This window comes from Homo sapiens, chromosome 9, assembly GCF_000001405.40.
Source record: "Homo sapiens chromosome 9, GRCh38.p14 Primary Assembly".
Classification (NCBI taxonomy): Eukaryota; Metazoa; Chordata; class Mammalia; order Primates; family Hominidae; genus Homo; species Homo sapiens.
The window spans coordinates 107,752,351-107,768,221 of NC_000009.12; the positions used below are offsets into that span (position 1 = coordinate 107,752,351).

Genomic DNA, 15,871 nt, shown 5'->3' on the forward strand with positions numbered 1-15,871 from the left:
GTAATCCAAATAAATGTTTTCTTTTGTCATTGAAACGGAGACCCTAACAGAGCAAGAGGCCTGACCTTCACACCTATGTAACCCAAGGTCACAGAAATGCTGAGGGGCCATGTGACTCCAGTGAAGCAGGAGTATCCATCCAGCCACAGAGATGGGACCTGTCCAAATGGGACCTGTCTGTTCCAAAGGTTATTCTGCTTGGTAAGTCTGTTTAGATTGCAATATTTTATTAAAATTATATACACATAGAAAAGGGCACCTAGAAGTATACAGGTTGATAAATGTTCACAACCTGAATAGAGCCTATAATTAACACCCAAATCAAAAAGCAGAACATTCCCTCTGGTCACCTGTCTCCAAGATGACTGCCATCAGTTCATTTCCTCCAAGTATATTAATGTCCTTTTCCTGGAGAAGTGGAATTCTTCCTCTTTTCCCCTTGAATTTGGACTGGCTTTAATGACTTCTTTGACCATAGAATGAAGCGGAAATGTTGCTAGGGCTAGATCATAAAAAACCTTGCAGCTTCTCCCTGGGTCTCTTGGAAACCCTCTCCAGGAGCTCTGAAATACTACATAAGAGGTCCAGCTACTCTGAGACTGCCATGTTGGAGAGGCCACATATAGGCACTCCTGTTGACAGTTCCAGTGGAACCCAGACTTCTGGTGATCCCTGACAAAGCAGGAAATTTGTTAGGAGAGTTTTCTTGGACCCTGCAAAGCAGCCCATTTGCCAGCTAAAGACCACTGAGTGACCCCTGTCAAAACCACATGGAGCAAAAGAATCACCCACCTGAGCCCTGACCAAACTTCTGACCCACAAAATCATGAGATATAATGAAATGATTGTTGTTTTAAGCCCCTAAGTTTTGGGGGTAATTTATTAGGCAGTGATAAGAAAAGTAAATATAATCCACCAGCGCAGAAGCCCCCAGTTGACCCTTTCCAGTTATTATGCTCCCTTCAATGGTAACCATGTGTCAACTTCCTCTACCATAGATTGGTTCTGCCTGTTTTTATGGCTTCTATCAATGGAATCATACAATATCTTCTTTTTTTGTGAGCCTGGCTTCTTTGGCTCAATATTATTTTATAAAATTCTTCCCTAATGTTGCATGTAGCTGCAGATTCTCATTCTCATCATTGTAGTCCAATGTGTGACTATATTAATTTATCCATTCTATTATTGATAGACATTTGAGTTGTTTCCAGCTTTTGGCTATTATGAATAACATCGCTATGAACATTTCAGTGTGTGTGCATTTCTGTTTGATATATACATGTGTCTCCATATATATACATGGAGAGAGAGAGATGGGGGTGTGTGTGTGTGTAGATATGTATATAGCTGTGTGTCCACCTATATACATACCTATATCCATCTATATCTGTATCTATATCTATATCTATATCTATATCTATATCTATATATACACACACACACCCCACAGTGTTATAGGTCTCATATATATTAGGTTGGTGTAAAAGTAATTGTGGTTTTTGCCATGACTTTTTTCTCTCTCTCTCTGTCTGTGTATATATATATATATATACATATATATATATACACACACACACACATACACACACACACATACACATTACTTACAAGGTTTTAAACACTTTATTCCCCAGCAATTCCTCTCCTGGGGGTGGTGTGTATGTGTGTGTATATAGGTGTATGATATAGTTTGGCTGTGTTCCCACCCAAATCTCATCTTGAATTATATTTCCCATCATCCCCATGTGTCATGGGAGGGACCTAGTGGGAGGTAATTGAATTATGAGAGTAGTTACCCCCATGCTGCTGTTCTTGTGATAGTGAGTTAGTTCTCATGAGATCTGATGATTTTATAAGGGCCTTTTCCGCCTTTTGCTTGGCACTTCTCCTTGCTGCCACCATGTGAAGAAGGACATGTTTGCTTCCCCTTCCATCATGATTGTAAGTTTCCTGAGGCTTCCCCAGCCATGCTGAACTGTGAGTCAATTAAACCTCTTTCCTTTATAAATTACCCCGTCTCAGGTATGTCTTTATTAGCAGCAGGAGAACAGACTAATACTATGTATATAGGTATGCATATAGGTGTGTGTCCAACTATATACATACCTATGTACACCTATATATATATATACACACACACACCTCCCCAGTCTTATAGGTCTCATATACATATACACACACACATATATATAGGTCTTCTAGGGTATGTGTACACACACACACACACACACACATTACTTACAAAGTTATAAGTACTTTATTCCCTAGCAATTCCTCTCCTACGGTGTGTGTGTGTATATATACACAGGTTTTCAAAATTGTTGTACTTGGTTTATATGCTTCTCAACCGTGTTTGATGGTTGCTCCATATTCTCCTTAGAACTAGCTGTTTTCTGTCTTTTTCTTTTGTTTTCTTTTCTTTTTCTTTTTTTTGAGACGGAGTTTCACTCTTGTTGCCCAGGCTGGAGTGCAATGGCATGATCTCAGCTCACTGCAACCTTTCCCTCCCAGGTTCTAGCAGTTCCCCTGCCTCAGCCTCCCCAGTAGCTGGGATTACAGGCATGCGCCACCACACCCGGCTAATTTTGTATTTTTAGTAGAGACGGGGTTTCTCCATGTTGGTCAGGCTGGTCTCAAACTCCTGACCTCAGGTGATCTGTCTGCCTCGGCCTCCCAAAGTGCTGGGATTGCAGGCGTGAGCCACTGTGCCCAAACTGTCTTTTTCATTTTGCGTTTGAGGATCTTGTACAATTAGCTAGCACACAACAAATAACAGGGCTGTCCACCTGCCAACATGGCATCTGAGACATGCAAGCTAAATGCAGAAAAATTGAGTTCCCTTGACACAGATGGGCTCCTTCCATGAAAGGGAAAGAATATTATAATTATTTGTTCATATCCAAGAAGAAGGTAGCTGGGTTCAGCTTTCACTGCCTTATTCTTCTGGAGAGTTTCTGTTTTGTAAGTCAGGCTCACTGAAGATGTGATAGAGGAAGTGATTGAGATTCTGATTATTTTCTTCATTCTTGGGCCCTGAGTCATCTCCAGGCCATGGGGCATTTGGGAAAAGGTGAGGCGGAACATGGCAGTTGGGTTTATTTTAGGGCAATCAGATGGCTGGGTCATAAAAACCTGTTCAGGGGACTTGAAAATTCACTCTGCCGCATGCTCCATGACTCATACATTTTTGCTTCCTAATTGATGTGACAAGACATCCGGGCACACTAAACTCAATATTACAAGGAAAAAAACAAGAGCGTGACTGATTTGGGTAGATGTATTGAGCTTATGGCAGCTGAAAAAAGTACTGTCCTCGTGTGACTAAATTTTCTTAAATCCAGTCGAATCACAGATTTTGAAAAATGGCAGAAACTTGGCATGATGGTTAGTTTTTTGTGTCAGCTCAGTTATTTAAGCAAACACTAATCTAGACGTTGCTGTGAAGGTATTTTGAAGAGGTAAAGGAAATCACTTGTCCTTAAGTAAAGGAAAGAACTGGGCCTCATTTAATCAGTTGAAGGCGTTAAGAGCAAAACTTGAATTTTCCTGGAGAAGACAAAATTCTGACTCAAGACTGCAGCATCAATTCTTGGCTGAGTTTCCAGTCTGCCAGCCTAGCCTATGGATTTCAGACCTGCTAGCCTCACAATTCAATGAGGCAAATGAGATATGTACGTGTGTATACACATACAAATACACACATACATGCATATATACATATATGTATATATACATGTGTGTATATACATACACACATAGATGGAGGAGTGGATAGATAGATTAATAGATAAATAGATGGATAGTTAGATACTATTGGTCTTCTTTCTCTGGAGAACCTTGACTGATATATATGATATAAATGAAATGAAACAATCCAGAAAAAATTTTCAGATTTTGATCAAAGGACAGGCCATCCTGTTGCTATGATGTGCTTGGAATGGGCGCCTGAGGGTAGGTATGATTATCAAGCACCTTCCCTGCTTAGCCTGACTCAATTGTAGAAAAATGAAGCTGAAAAACACACTATGGCTACTCATGAAAAGTTCTGGATGGTAAGTTGAGATTTCTGTTGAATCCTATGGCCAAATTCTAGATCATGTTTAGCCCTATCTGGTTCTATAGAAATCCTTCTTTCATGATTGACTGGCTACAGGTGAAAACAACACTCTTTGATGTAATTAGGAATTAACCTGGAGGAGTCCTCCATGAATACCTGTTCTTTCCAAACCCATTCTGTCTGAACACATCAATATTCTCACCAACTTAGACTGAGCACGGACCAGCACAAGACTTACACTCAGGGAAATCTGTTTTGTCTTTTCATAAATAAAGTCAATTAAGTAATTCTTAAAAACAATTTTTTTTTTTTGAGACAAAGTCTGACTCTGTAGCCCAGGCTGGAGTGCAGTGGCACAATCTCAGCTCACTGCACCTCTGCCTCCCGGGTTCAAGTGATTCTCCTGCCTCAGACTCCCAAGTAGCTGGGATTACAGGTGTGTGCTGCCACACCCAGCTAATTTTTGTATTTATAGTAGAGATGGAGTTTCACCATGTTGGCCAGGCTGGTCTGGAACTCCAGGCCTCAAGTGATACACCTGCCTCGGCCTCCCAAAGTGCTGGGATTAGAGGTGTAAGCCAATGTGCCTGGCCAAAAACAACTTTTATATTATTGAGTTGAAAAATAATCTTATATCTGAATAGTTAACTGATTTATCATTAGGGCCCCCATATGTGGATTTCTGTGTGATGGCAAAACAAAGACAAACTAACCCACTTTGAATGTTTTTCCACTAGACCTTGCTATCTCAGGATTCTAATAACTCTCTGTACAACCTTGGATGGGTCACTTAGCCCTTCGACACTTAAGTTTAATTTAAAACTTAAGTCTCTGCCAGAGCAGAAAGGAGCTTAACAGGTCACCTAATTTTGACATTCACAGAATGAAATAAGTGTCTCACAGCAGATTTCCTCATAGAAATAGAAAGCATCAACATTTTTAAGAGATCCACCCATAGGCCAGTCCCTGTTTTCACAGATGCTATGTCTTATGTCATGGACTCCAATGCTTCTAGCTCTCTGTAGAAAAATTGACAACCGTCATCTGCAATTTTGATACTGAACTCTGGGTAAGCCCAGTTTTGCCCATTGTTTGCCTTCCTTGGAGAGATTTTATACACAAATCAATATTGAAGGACTTTAAACATCCTGTAATGTGCATATGTATCCACATGTACCCACGTAAGTAAGACACATCTGTAGAAATCAGGAGGACCCTCTTGCTACAGAACCAAGACCAAGGGCCCTTTTTAGAGAGACTTGGGAGGCTGTCTACTTCAAAAGCATTATCACTAGTCCCATGGCTCCAGGTGCTCCCCTGTTAATACATTCTTCTCCTGCAGCCAGGGTGAGATTCTAATATTCCATAGCATCACGTCCCTCCTGCAGAACCTACAAAGGCTCCCATTTCCCACTAAATAAAACCCAAACTCCCTAGTCAGACATACATGGTGCCCCGTAATGTAGCCCTGCTCCTCTTGCCCTCTGTACCCTCACCATCCCCATCTCATCCGCAACTTCCCAGGAACACACAGAATGAAGCTCTCCCTTCCCTGAATATGCCAGACTTCCCCTAATGTCCATGTCCATGCTATTGCCCTTGACTTTGCCCTTCTCATCCCTTCTACCTGGGAAAATATATTTTAAAAGCTAGCTCAAGTATCACTTCCTCATTAAATCCTTCCAAGATTTCCTGGGAAGATTATTTTTCCGTTAACTCACTCCTATAGCAGATTTCATGGATTTCAGTGATGGCCCTGATTATATAGGATTGAATTAGTTTTTTTGTGTTTGTTTGTTTGTTTGTTTGTTTAACATTAGCTTCCCCCTCTAGACTGTGAGCTCACGGACGGTAGAGGCTGAGGCTTGTTTCTGTTAATAGTTGTGTCCCCATCACCCAGCCCAGAACCTGGCACGGATTATTGTGGGTACAACTCAGAGTTCTAGTTGAGGTGTAAATGAATTATAAACATATAAAGAGGTACACAGCACTGAAAATAAGAAGGATGGCTATATTTCTGAAGGCACTTATACTCTAGAGGATAAACAGACACAAAGTTGATACCACATTGACGTCCAGGTGGAGCATGTGATGGCTAATGGCTCTGGTGCCTGCTCTTCCTTGGCCAGGCTGTTGGGGAAACTCATGCTGATGTGAAGTTGCCTCTCTGAGCTATCCCCTATGGAGGTTGGTGGTCCTGGGGACTCTGCAGGTCCATAAAACCAATCTGTGAGCAAGACACCTTTGTGATTTTAAGCCACTGAGATTATTGGTGGTTCTCTGTTACTGGAGTATAACCCAACCTATGGTAACTAATATCCAACTCATGGCGCCATTCTTCTTAAGGACAGGAAAAGAGTCCTGGCTTGAAATGCAGGTTTATGCTTTGGGAAAACAAGTCCTGTTTTGAGATTTCCAGCTGTCCTGTTTTTCAACATGGCAGCCAGAATCTGCATCTTGGAGCCAGGTACTGTGTCCATTCTTGCCTAAGAGAGCATCCATTGGAAGTTCCCCTTTCAGCGTCATTGTGGATGCTATCCAGGGAGGTAAGATCTGGCTGAGATCTGTGTGAAGGGCTCTGCCCTTGGCCAAGAGTCCTCCTGTTTTCTGCCCTTGAACTAAAGGCCAGGAAGCCTCCTGTTTCCTGGACTCCCTCCTGAGTCCCAGGCCTGGATTATGGAAGAAGGCTGAGAGTAAGACATCAAGGTCAACACCCAAGGTGGTGATGAGTAATCTTGTTTGACCTGGAGTGTCAGTGAAATGGCTCCACTCTCCATTTCTCCCTAGCTGTGCAGAGGTGGCCCCACTGGGGCATGTGTGTGTTTTCTCAAAACCATTCTCTGAGACTGGTTTCATAGTTCCATTTTACCAACTGAAAACTGATGGGCAGAGAGTCTAAGGAATTCAAACCAATGTCACAGCTATTTGGTGATACAGCCTGAATTCAAAAGGGGGTATTTTAGTTTTTCGAGCTTTGGTTATTTCTACTACCACACAGTTGTAGAAGTGAGTTTCAATGAACATGTATCGGGAACCTCTCTGTGGCAGGCATTGTGTGAACACCGGGCATGAATGTGAGCAAAGGTCAGTATCTACCCACGAAGAAGTTTCAATTTTGTTGGGGACCCAGGCACATAAATGAGTGATTATAGCAGACTCAAAAATGCCACATGTAAAGAACACTGGGGAAGAACCATCAGGGACGGCTTCCTGAAACAGGGACCATGGGGCTGAGACCTGAAGTGTGAGGGGGGATGTTCTGGGCAGTGACAGGGGAGCAAAAAGAATTCTAAGCAGAGACTCTGGTACATACAAAGGCACTGAGGTGTAAGACAGAGGGACTTGACAGGGAACTGAAAGCCTAGTTGGTGTGATAAAGAAGTGGTAGGCAGGGAATTTACAATCATCTGCAAGCAACCTACAGCTCTCTGAAATTTGTGGGGGCCTTGAATAATTTAGATAATTGTAACACGTCTTCCCTTGGCTTGACATCAAAGCCACCTCTTCCCAGCAGCTCCTGAAGTTGCTGAGGATGCTGGCTCAGGGCCATTTATCACCACCCTGGCTGGACTGGTAGCTGGAGTGGTGGCAGGCCTGCCGCGAGGCCCATGAGGCAGTGACGACAGTGCCCTGCAGGTACAGGTACTAAATGCATTCCAGGTAGGGCAGTGCTACAGCCTGACAACCTCCCAGGGGCCTCCACTGAAGGCAACAACAACACTTTTAGAGGAGAAGGTAATTAGCTTTGTTTGGCGAGACTTCCACGGATTCTGTGCTGTGCTAGTTACTAAATATTGTCTCATTTGATTCTCAATCATCCCAAGTAGAGGGCTTTCTCCTTCTCGTTTTATAGGAGAAATTTGGCTTCTCAGGGTTTTGCACACCTTGTCCTGGGTTACACGGCTGGGATTCAAATCCAAGCTTTTTCATATCTTTCCCTCACCCAGTACTGCTTCTGTGAATTCTGGTTGTGGATTTTAACTAGAATCACAATGGAGAGAAATCGCCTCTAAAATGGGCATATTGAATATTCCCTACATTTCATACAAAACGAAACTCATTCTTGGACCCCTTTGGTGGGCCTTGGCTTTTCCTGACCTGTTTTCCTGGGGGACTGGCTGGCCTGGTCATTTTCGGCAGTCTCTGTGCTGGGTCAGGCCATGCTGCCTTGGTGGCTCCTTCCTGCCTGAGGAACTATGGGGCCAGAAATGGTAACTCCTACTTATTTTTAATCCTGGCCTTTAACCCAAGAAAGTCACCACTGGCTTTTGGAACAGGCTTCCCCCAGAATAAAGGGAGGAGGAGATTAACGATTCAAATGGGGAAGTGGTTCAGCAAGGAGGAGAGCGGGGAGGAGCAGGGTTCCTGAGACCCACAGGGGTCTCAGGAAGCCTGGCTGGAAGAGGAATCCCAGAGGAAAACTCAGAGCATGCAGGAGGCTGGCAGTGTGCAAGGCCAGGGCGCAAAACGTGGGTGTGGCTTCTAGGGTAAGGGAGCAGGGAGAGGATGAAGGGGTAGGAGGCTGGGATTGGAGCCCTAGGAATAGGAAGTCGGTGAGGGAACGGTGCCTGGGGTGTGTTTTGGTTCTGCTTTCAGAACTAGAGCAGTGGTTTGGCTGCAACATTCAAAGACCTGAAAATATGGAAGCAGACTTTGGGGAAGAGGACTACTGAGAATAGCAGTAGTGAATACGGGAAGTGCTGAGCCCAGGGCTCCACGGAGAAGCTGTGGCTTCTTTCCGGAGCCTGTCAGTCTACAAGAAGAGGACGTCCGGTTCCAAACTGTTCCAGGCCTGCTAGGGTCATCCAGCTGGTTCCCTCTGTCTTTTGCTGAACGTCCTCACTCCAAACTTGCCCACATCAGCTTAATATACTTTGCAAACCTGAAGAGGACATAAAAGAAAAGTTGCTGTTAATTAAATTAATTGTGTATTTATTCAGCATGATTTGTTGAGACCTAATCTGTACCAAGTCTTGGAATTTAGAGATGAACTGAAACTCACTGCTTGATGCAATTATATAATATGGTGTGACTGGCAGTATAAAGATGCACATTCCCAGAGCTATGGAGCCCAGAGAGGGGAGAGGCTGAGCAGGCTCCGGGAGAGTAAAGGTCATTTTCCCAATAAGTTTGCAAAGATATGTACACCAACTTGACCAAGAGGAAAGCAAAGTTCAGGCCAGGCAGAGAGGCTACCTGTGCTGAAAGGAGGAAAGGAGACGAAAGTGTTTGGCATCATTGGGAAAGAGCCAGGATTGGGCAAAGATGAGGCCAGGAATATAACAGGGATGGGGGGCATGAATTGCAGGCTATAGAACTTGGATTTTATTCCATAGGCACTGAGAACTAAGGAAGGTTTTTATGTAAAAGGTAAATGGAATCTTAATACTATATTTCAGGATACCAAATTTAGCATGATTATGATGAATGATAATATTAATTATTGTAAATGATAGTGGTGATAAAAATACAAATAAATCCATCCATCGTAGGTCAAAAATGATGGGCTATTACTCTCATGATCATATTGCACTATATATGACTCCATCTTAGTGGACTGAAGCAGGAGATTCTCCTGCTGGCTTTGAAGAAACAAATTGCCATGTGGTGACCTGCTTATGGAGAGGTCCATGTGGCAGGGAACTGCGGGTCGTCTCTAGGACCTGTGGTTGGCCTCCAGAAAACAGCCAATAAAAACAGCATCTTCTGTCATGTATCTGCAAAGAAATGCATTCTCCCAACAACTCAAATGATCTTGGAAACAAACTCTTATCCAATTGAGCCTCCAGATGAGAACACAGCCTGCCTGACAACTTGTGAGACCCTGAACATACAATGTTTGGTTTTCCATTCCTGAGTTACTTCATTTAGAATAATAGACCCTGAGCAGAGCTAAGTTATGCCCAGACTCCTAACCCATGGAAACTATAAAATAAATGTGTATTGTTTTAACCTGCCAGTTTTATGATAATTTGTTATACAGCAATAGATAACTAATACAGATTCTCCTAAATGAGCAGTGCAGGAATCTGCTTCTGGGAGACTATTATAGTTAACGTTAAGGATTACAAAACTGCAGATATGCCTGCTTTACAAGCTGGTATCATCTGCAGCTACCCACAAAGTGGAATTTGAGAGCAAGTGCTATCCCACCAGGTGTTCCAGCCCCTAACAGCCCTCCATTGCATGTTGGCAATTGGAGAGTAAACTTCTTCTTTTTTTTCTTTTTTTTTTTGAGACAGTCTCACTCTGTTGTCCAGACTGGAGTGCAGTGGTGTGACCTCAGCTCATTGCAACCTCCAACTCCCAGGTTCAAGTGATTCTTGTGCCTCAGTCTCCTGAATAGCTGGGACTACAGGTGTGCACCACCACACCCAGCTAATTTTTGTATTTTTAGTAGAGATGAGGTTTCATCATTTTGGCCAGGCTGGTCTTAAACCCCCAACCTCAAGTGATCTGCCCGCCTCAGCCTCCCAAAATGCTGGGATTACAGGCCTGAGCCACTGCACCTGGCCTGAGTAAACTTCTTAGAGTCTTAGAGGCAAGGCAGTTAAGGAGAAGAGCAAAAGCTTAGTAGTCAGATAGGCCAGATACTACCATGCAACTTTTGCCTATATTTATCTTTGTGTGACTCAGTTTTTTCATCTGTAGTGTTGGTGTAATCTACTTAGATATATCAAGAGGGTTTAAAAAAATCAAAAACTACCTATGAGGTACTATGCTTATCACCTGGGTGGTGAAATAATCTGTAGGCTAAACATGATATAGTTTACCTATAAAACAAATCTGCACATGTACTCCGAACCTAAAAGTTTTATTTATTTATTCTTATTAATTTAGTTTAATTTATTATCGTTTATTTTTTCCATAAGTTATTGGGGTACAGGTGGTATTGGGGTACATGAGTAAGTTCTTTAGTGGTGATTTGTGAGATTTTGGTGCACCCATAATGTGAGCAGTATACACTGAACCATATTTGCAGCCTTTTATCCCTCACCTCCCTCCAACTCCTGCTCCCAAGTCCTCAAAGTTCATTGTATCATTCTTATGCCTTTGGGTTCTCATAGCTTAGATCCCACATATCAGTGAGAACATACAATGTTTAGTTTTCCATTCCTGAGTTGCTGATTTAGAATAATAGTCTTCAATCTCATCCAGGTCACTGCAAATGCTGTTAATTCATTCCTTTTTCCATATATATATGATGGAATACTATACAGCCATATATATATATATATGATGGAATAGTATACAGCCATAAAAAGGAATGAATTAACATTATCAGAGTTTCTTTATCCACTCGTTGATTGATGGGCATTTGGGTTGGTTCCATGATTTTGCAATTGTGAATTGTGCTGCTATAAACATGCTTGTGCAAGTATCTTTTTCGAATAATGACTTCTTTTCCTTTGCATAGATATCCAATAGTGGGATTGCTGGATCAAATGGTAGTTCTACTTTTAGTTCTTTAAGGAATCTCCACACTGTTTTCCATAGTGGCTATACTAGTTTGCATTTCCACTAGCAGTGTAGAAGTGTTCCCTGTTCACCACATCCATGCCAACATCTATTGTTTTCTGATTTTTTTGTTTGGCCATTCTTGCAGGAGTAAGGTGGTATCACATTGTGGTTTTCATTTGCATTTCCCTGATCATTAGTGATGTTGAGCATTTTTTTCATATATTTGTTGGCCATTTGTGTATCTTCTTTTGATAATTGTCTATTCATGTCCTTAGTCCACTTTTTGATGGGATTTTTTGTTTTTTTCTTACTGATTTGTTTGGGTTCTTTGTAGATTCTGGATATTAGTCCTTTGTCAGACGTATAGATTGTGAAGATTTTCTCCCACTCTGTGGGTTATCTGTTTACTCTGCTGACTGTTCCTTTTGCTGTGCAAAAGCTCTTTAGTTTAATTAGGTACCAGCTATTTATCTTTGTTTTTGTTGCTTTTGCTTTTGGGTTCTTAGTTATGAAATCCTTGCCTAAGCTAATGTCTAGAAGGGTTTTTCCAATGTTATCTTCTAGAATTTTTACAATTTCAGCTCTTAGGTTTAAGTCCTTATTCCTTCTTGAATTTATTTTTGTATAAGGTGAGACATAAGGATCCAGTTTTATTCTCCCACATGTGGCTAGCCAGTTATCCCAGCACCATTTGTTGAAAAGGGTGTGCTTTCCCCAATTCATGTTTTTGTTTGCTTTGTCAAAGATCAGTTAGCTGTAAGCATTTGGGATTATTTCTGGGTTCTCTATTCTTTTCCATTGGCCAATGTGTCTATTTTTACACCAGTACCACACCATTTTGGTGACTATGGTCTCATAGTATAGTTTGAAATCAGATAGTGTGATGCCTCCAGATTTGTTCTTTTTGCTTAGTCTTGCTTTGGCTATGCAGGCTCTTTTTTGCTTCCATATGAAATTTAGAATTTTTTTTTCTAATTTTATGAAGATAATGGTGGTATTTTGATGGGAATTGTATTGAATTTGTTGATTGCTTTTGGCAGTATGGTCATTTTCACAATATCGATTATGCCCATCCATGAGCATGGGATGTGTTTCCATTTGGTCGTGTCATCTATGATTTCTTTCAGCAGTGTTTTGTAGTTTTCCTTGTAGAGGTCTTTCAACTCCTTGGTTAGATATATTCCTAAGTATTTTATTTTATTATTTTTTGCAGCTATTGTAAAAGAGATTGAGTTCTTGATTTGATTTTCTGCTTGGTCCCTGTTGGTGTGTAGAAGAGCTACTGATGTGTGTATATTAATCTTGTATCTGGAAACTTTGCTGAATTTTTTTTTTATCAGTTCTAGGAGCTTTCTGGAGGAGTCCTTAAGGTTTTCAAGGTAAACGATCATATTGTCAGTAAACAGTGACAATTTGACTTCCCCTTTATCGATTTGGATGCCCTTTATCTCTTTCTTTTGTCTGATTGCTCTGGCTAGGACTTCCAGTACTATGTTGAAGAGGAGTGGTGAGAGTGGGCATTCTTGTCTTGTTTAGTTCTCAGAGGGAATGTTACCAAAAATATTACCAAAAATAAAGAAGAATTTTTTTAATGATAAAGAGATCAATTCAGTTGTAAGACATAACATTTACAAATTTGTATTCACTCATATCAATCTTTAAAATATATAAAATGAAAATTGAGAGAAATAAAAGGATAAATGAAAAAAATAATGGAAATAAAGGATAAATAATGGAGAAATGAAGGATAAATGGGAAAAAAAAAACAGAGCTTCCACCACTACCACTTCCCGTCCATGTTCCCAGAACATTGTCCTTTTGATGGAAAGCTGTTATCTGAGTGCGGGTAGTTTATTTGGAAGGAGGCCCCAACAAATTTTGCTAGATCTGAGACACAGAGGGGAGGGAAATATCATCAAGCCAGTTGCTATTATAAGCTACTGGAGCTCAGTCCCATGGAGAGCCCTGGGTGATGGTATGGATCATGACTAAAGGCTGAACCAACAGAGAAGCAAGGAAGCTGTACTATGTCAGAGGGCTGTTCACAGGGGCATTGATTCTATGCCCTCTGCCTTGCCCTGTGCTTGGGCCAAATAGACTCTTATGACCAGAAAAAAAGAAAATTACATGTGCTCACTTTGTGTTAAGCAGCCTTTGGTGTGCAGAGGTTAATAATGAAGGCATGTGGGCAGAGCTTCTATAAGGACAATTATAGGGGTAATACCCTGTACCTCTCAGAGTTGTTGTGAGAATAAATGATGTAAGTGCCTGGTGCTTGATATATATAAATTTGTTTTTTTTTTTTTTTTTTTTTCAGAAAATCAGGCCAGGCATGGTGGCTCACAACTGTAATCCCAGCACTATAGGAGGCCAAGGCAGATGGATGGCTTGAGCCTAGGAGTTTGAGACCAGCCTGGGCAGAATAGTGAGACCCTATTTCTACAAAAAATACAGAAAAATCAGCCAGGCTTGGTGGCATGCTCCTGTAGTCCGAGCTACTCGGAAAGCTGAGGTGGGAGAGTCACTTCAGCCTGGGAGATCAAGACTGCAGTGAGCAGTGATGAAACTACTGCACTCCAGCCTGGGTTTCAGAGCAAGTCCCTGTCTCAGAAAGAAAAAAAAAAGAAAAAAGAAAACAAGTCAGTATTTTCCCCCCAAAGAAAGGCTCATGGGAATCTTACAAAATGAGGTTTTAGGAACCAAAATTACTTCATGTAGTACTCTCTAGTAAAGGCAGAGGATGCAAATGTTGCAGTGGGTCTCTGGTCAGCCGCCATGAGTCTCTTGGATCTAACACTTGCTCTCTTCAGACTTCAGTTTCCTCATAAGGTGAGAACAAGGCTGTATCTCAGTGCTCTGGGCCTGCTCACACATCCTGCTCATATGAATGTGAGAGCCACACCAGCCCTCTGGGAAGTAGTCCCTCAAACAGCAGCCCAGTGCAGGGGGAAGGATGCAAACACTACAGGCAGATCAGTTTAATCCACTTTTGGGCAGGGTGACCTTAGGAAAGCCCATTTCCTTCTGCCTCAATTGTCACCTCTGTAAAATGGAAACAATAATATTTATTTCCGTGGCTGTTTGGAGGATTACATAAAATAACAAATACAGTGGCATTCCATTTTTCTGAGGCAATTATGTTCTATAAAGTCACTGCAAACACTGAATTACTGGAATAGTGAGCCATTGCTCTTACTGGAAATACAGGATTAGGTTCCTGAAAAATCTCTGGTCACAACATCTTTGTCAACTGATCAATACATAACCATGATGTATGTGTGTTTCTTTTTAAAGGTACCTTATTTAATATCATTGTTGATTCATTAATATTAAACTCATGCCTAAGAATACTTTAAGTCATATCTGAATGAAGCGTATCTAATATGTATATTCTCTCTGAAGGTACATCACTGCTCTCTTGCACTTAAACACACCAGACAGCACTTCAGCACTATATCTGGAGACCATTTCAAACAGTAAAATCTCCAATAAAAGCAAAAAAAAAAAAAAAGTGAAATTTATGGCACTAAATAGACTGCAGAAAGGACACCTGTTGATAGGATGAGAGCTGAAAAAAAAGGTAGAGGGCCGCAAGTGATGGCTCACACCTATAATCCCAGCATTTGGGAGGCCAAGGAGGGTGGATCACCTGAGGTCAGGAGTGTGAGACCAGCCTGGCCAACATGGTGAAACCTCATCTCTACTAAAAATACAACAATTAGCTGGGCATGGTGGCATGCACCTGTAATCCCAGCTACTCAGGAGGCTGAGGCAGGAGAATCTCTTGAACCCGTGAGGAGGAGGTTGCAGTGAGCTGAGATCACGCCACTACACTCTAGCCTGGGTGACGGAGTGAGACTCCATCTTGGAAAAAAAAAATAAAAGAAAATAAAGAAGGTACAGCATGGCCTCGCTCAGCTGGGAATGTGTGTGTGCATCAAGCAACTATTTTTTTTTGCTGTTCTGTGCTTGTCTGTGAACAGCCATGAAAATGCCGAAACACTGCACATGTTAATATTGGGGTTATAAGTAAATTTAGCGAGTAAGCAAATTTGCAAATATGGAATCTGCAAATAATGATTTGACTGTGCTTAGTAATTGGCCAGTAAAAAACTGGCAGCTTATTATATTATCATCAGGGAAAGCATAGGGTCTGGTAAAGATCTGTTAGGGTACACTAGGAATCCAAACTCCAACTGGTGCCCATAGGAGTGGGAGGGAAATCTGCAAGTGTGGAGCCCCTCAAATCAATGCTCCAGGGAGCCTTGAGTCCCTCTGTCACCTCTCGGCCAGGTCTCCAAGAACTCCCTAACTCCTTGGACTTAACTCTTGGATCTCCCTGACAATTGCAGT

General features: G+C 41.7%; 2 long non-coding RNA genes across 4 annotated transcripts in view, besides 2 other annotated features; one reads left to right on the forward strand and one right to left on the reverse strand.

Annotated features, from left to right (window-relative positions):
* The window catches only part of LOC105376208 (uncharacterized), a 78,157-nt gene that overhangs the window by 17,552 nt on the left and 44,734 nt on the right, over positions 1–15,871 (forward strand). For all 3 annotated transcript variants that reach the window (XR_930229.2, XR_930228.2, XR_007061720.1), the window contains exon 2: positions 41–201. This is a non-coding gene — a long non-coding RNA (uncharacterized LOC105376208). The remainder of the gene's footprint in view (positions 1–40; positions 202–15,871) is intronic.
* Positions 2,580–3,779: an enhancer, noted in NCBI's record as "CDK7 strongly-dependent group 2 enhancer chr9:110517211-110518410 (GRCh37/hg19 assembly coordinates)". NCBI's record gives its function as "activates an origin of replication core promoter dependent on BRD2, BRD4, P300/CBP, MED14 and CDK7 cofactors, with strong dependence on CDK7, by STARR-seq in HCT116 cells {active_cell/tissue: HCT116}" and the evidence as "EXISTENCE:reporter gene assay evidence [ECO:0000049][PMID:35650434]".
* Positions 2,918–3,212: an enhancer, noted in NCBI's record as "tiled region #9178; HepG2 Activating non-DNase unmatched - State 10:DNaseD". NCBI's record gives its function as "activates a minimal TATA promoter and a strong SV40 promoter by Sharpr-MPRA in HepG2 cells {active_cell/tissue: HepG2}" and the evidence as "EXISTENCE:reporter gene assay evidence [ECO:0000049][PMID:27701403]".
* Positions 8,539–15,871, reverse strand: part of LOC105376209 (uncharacterized) — a 38,984-nt gene continuing 31,651 nt past the window's right edge. The window contains exon 3 of the long non-coding RNA XR_930230.3: positions 8,539–8,939. This is a non-coding gene — a long non-coding RNA (uncharacterized LOC105376209). The remainder of the gene's footprint in view (positions 8,940–15,871) is intronic.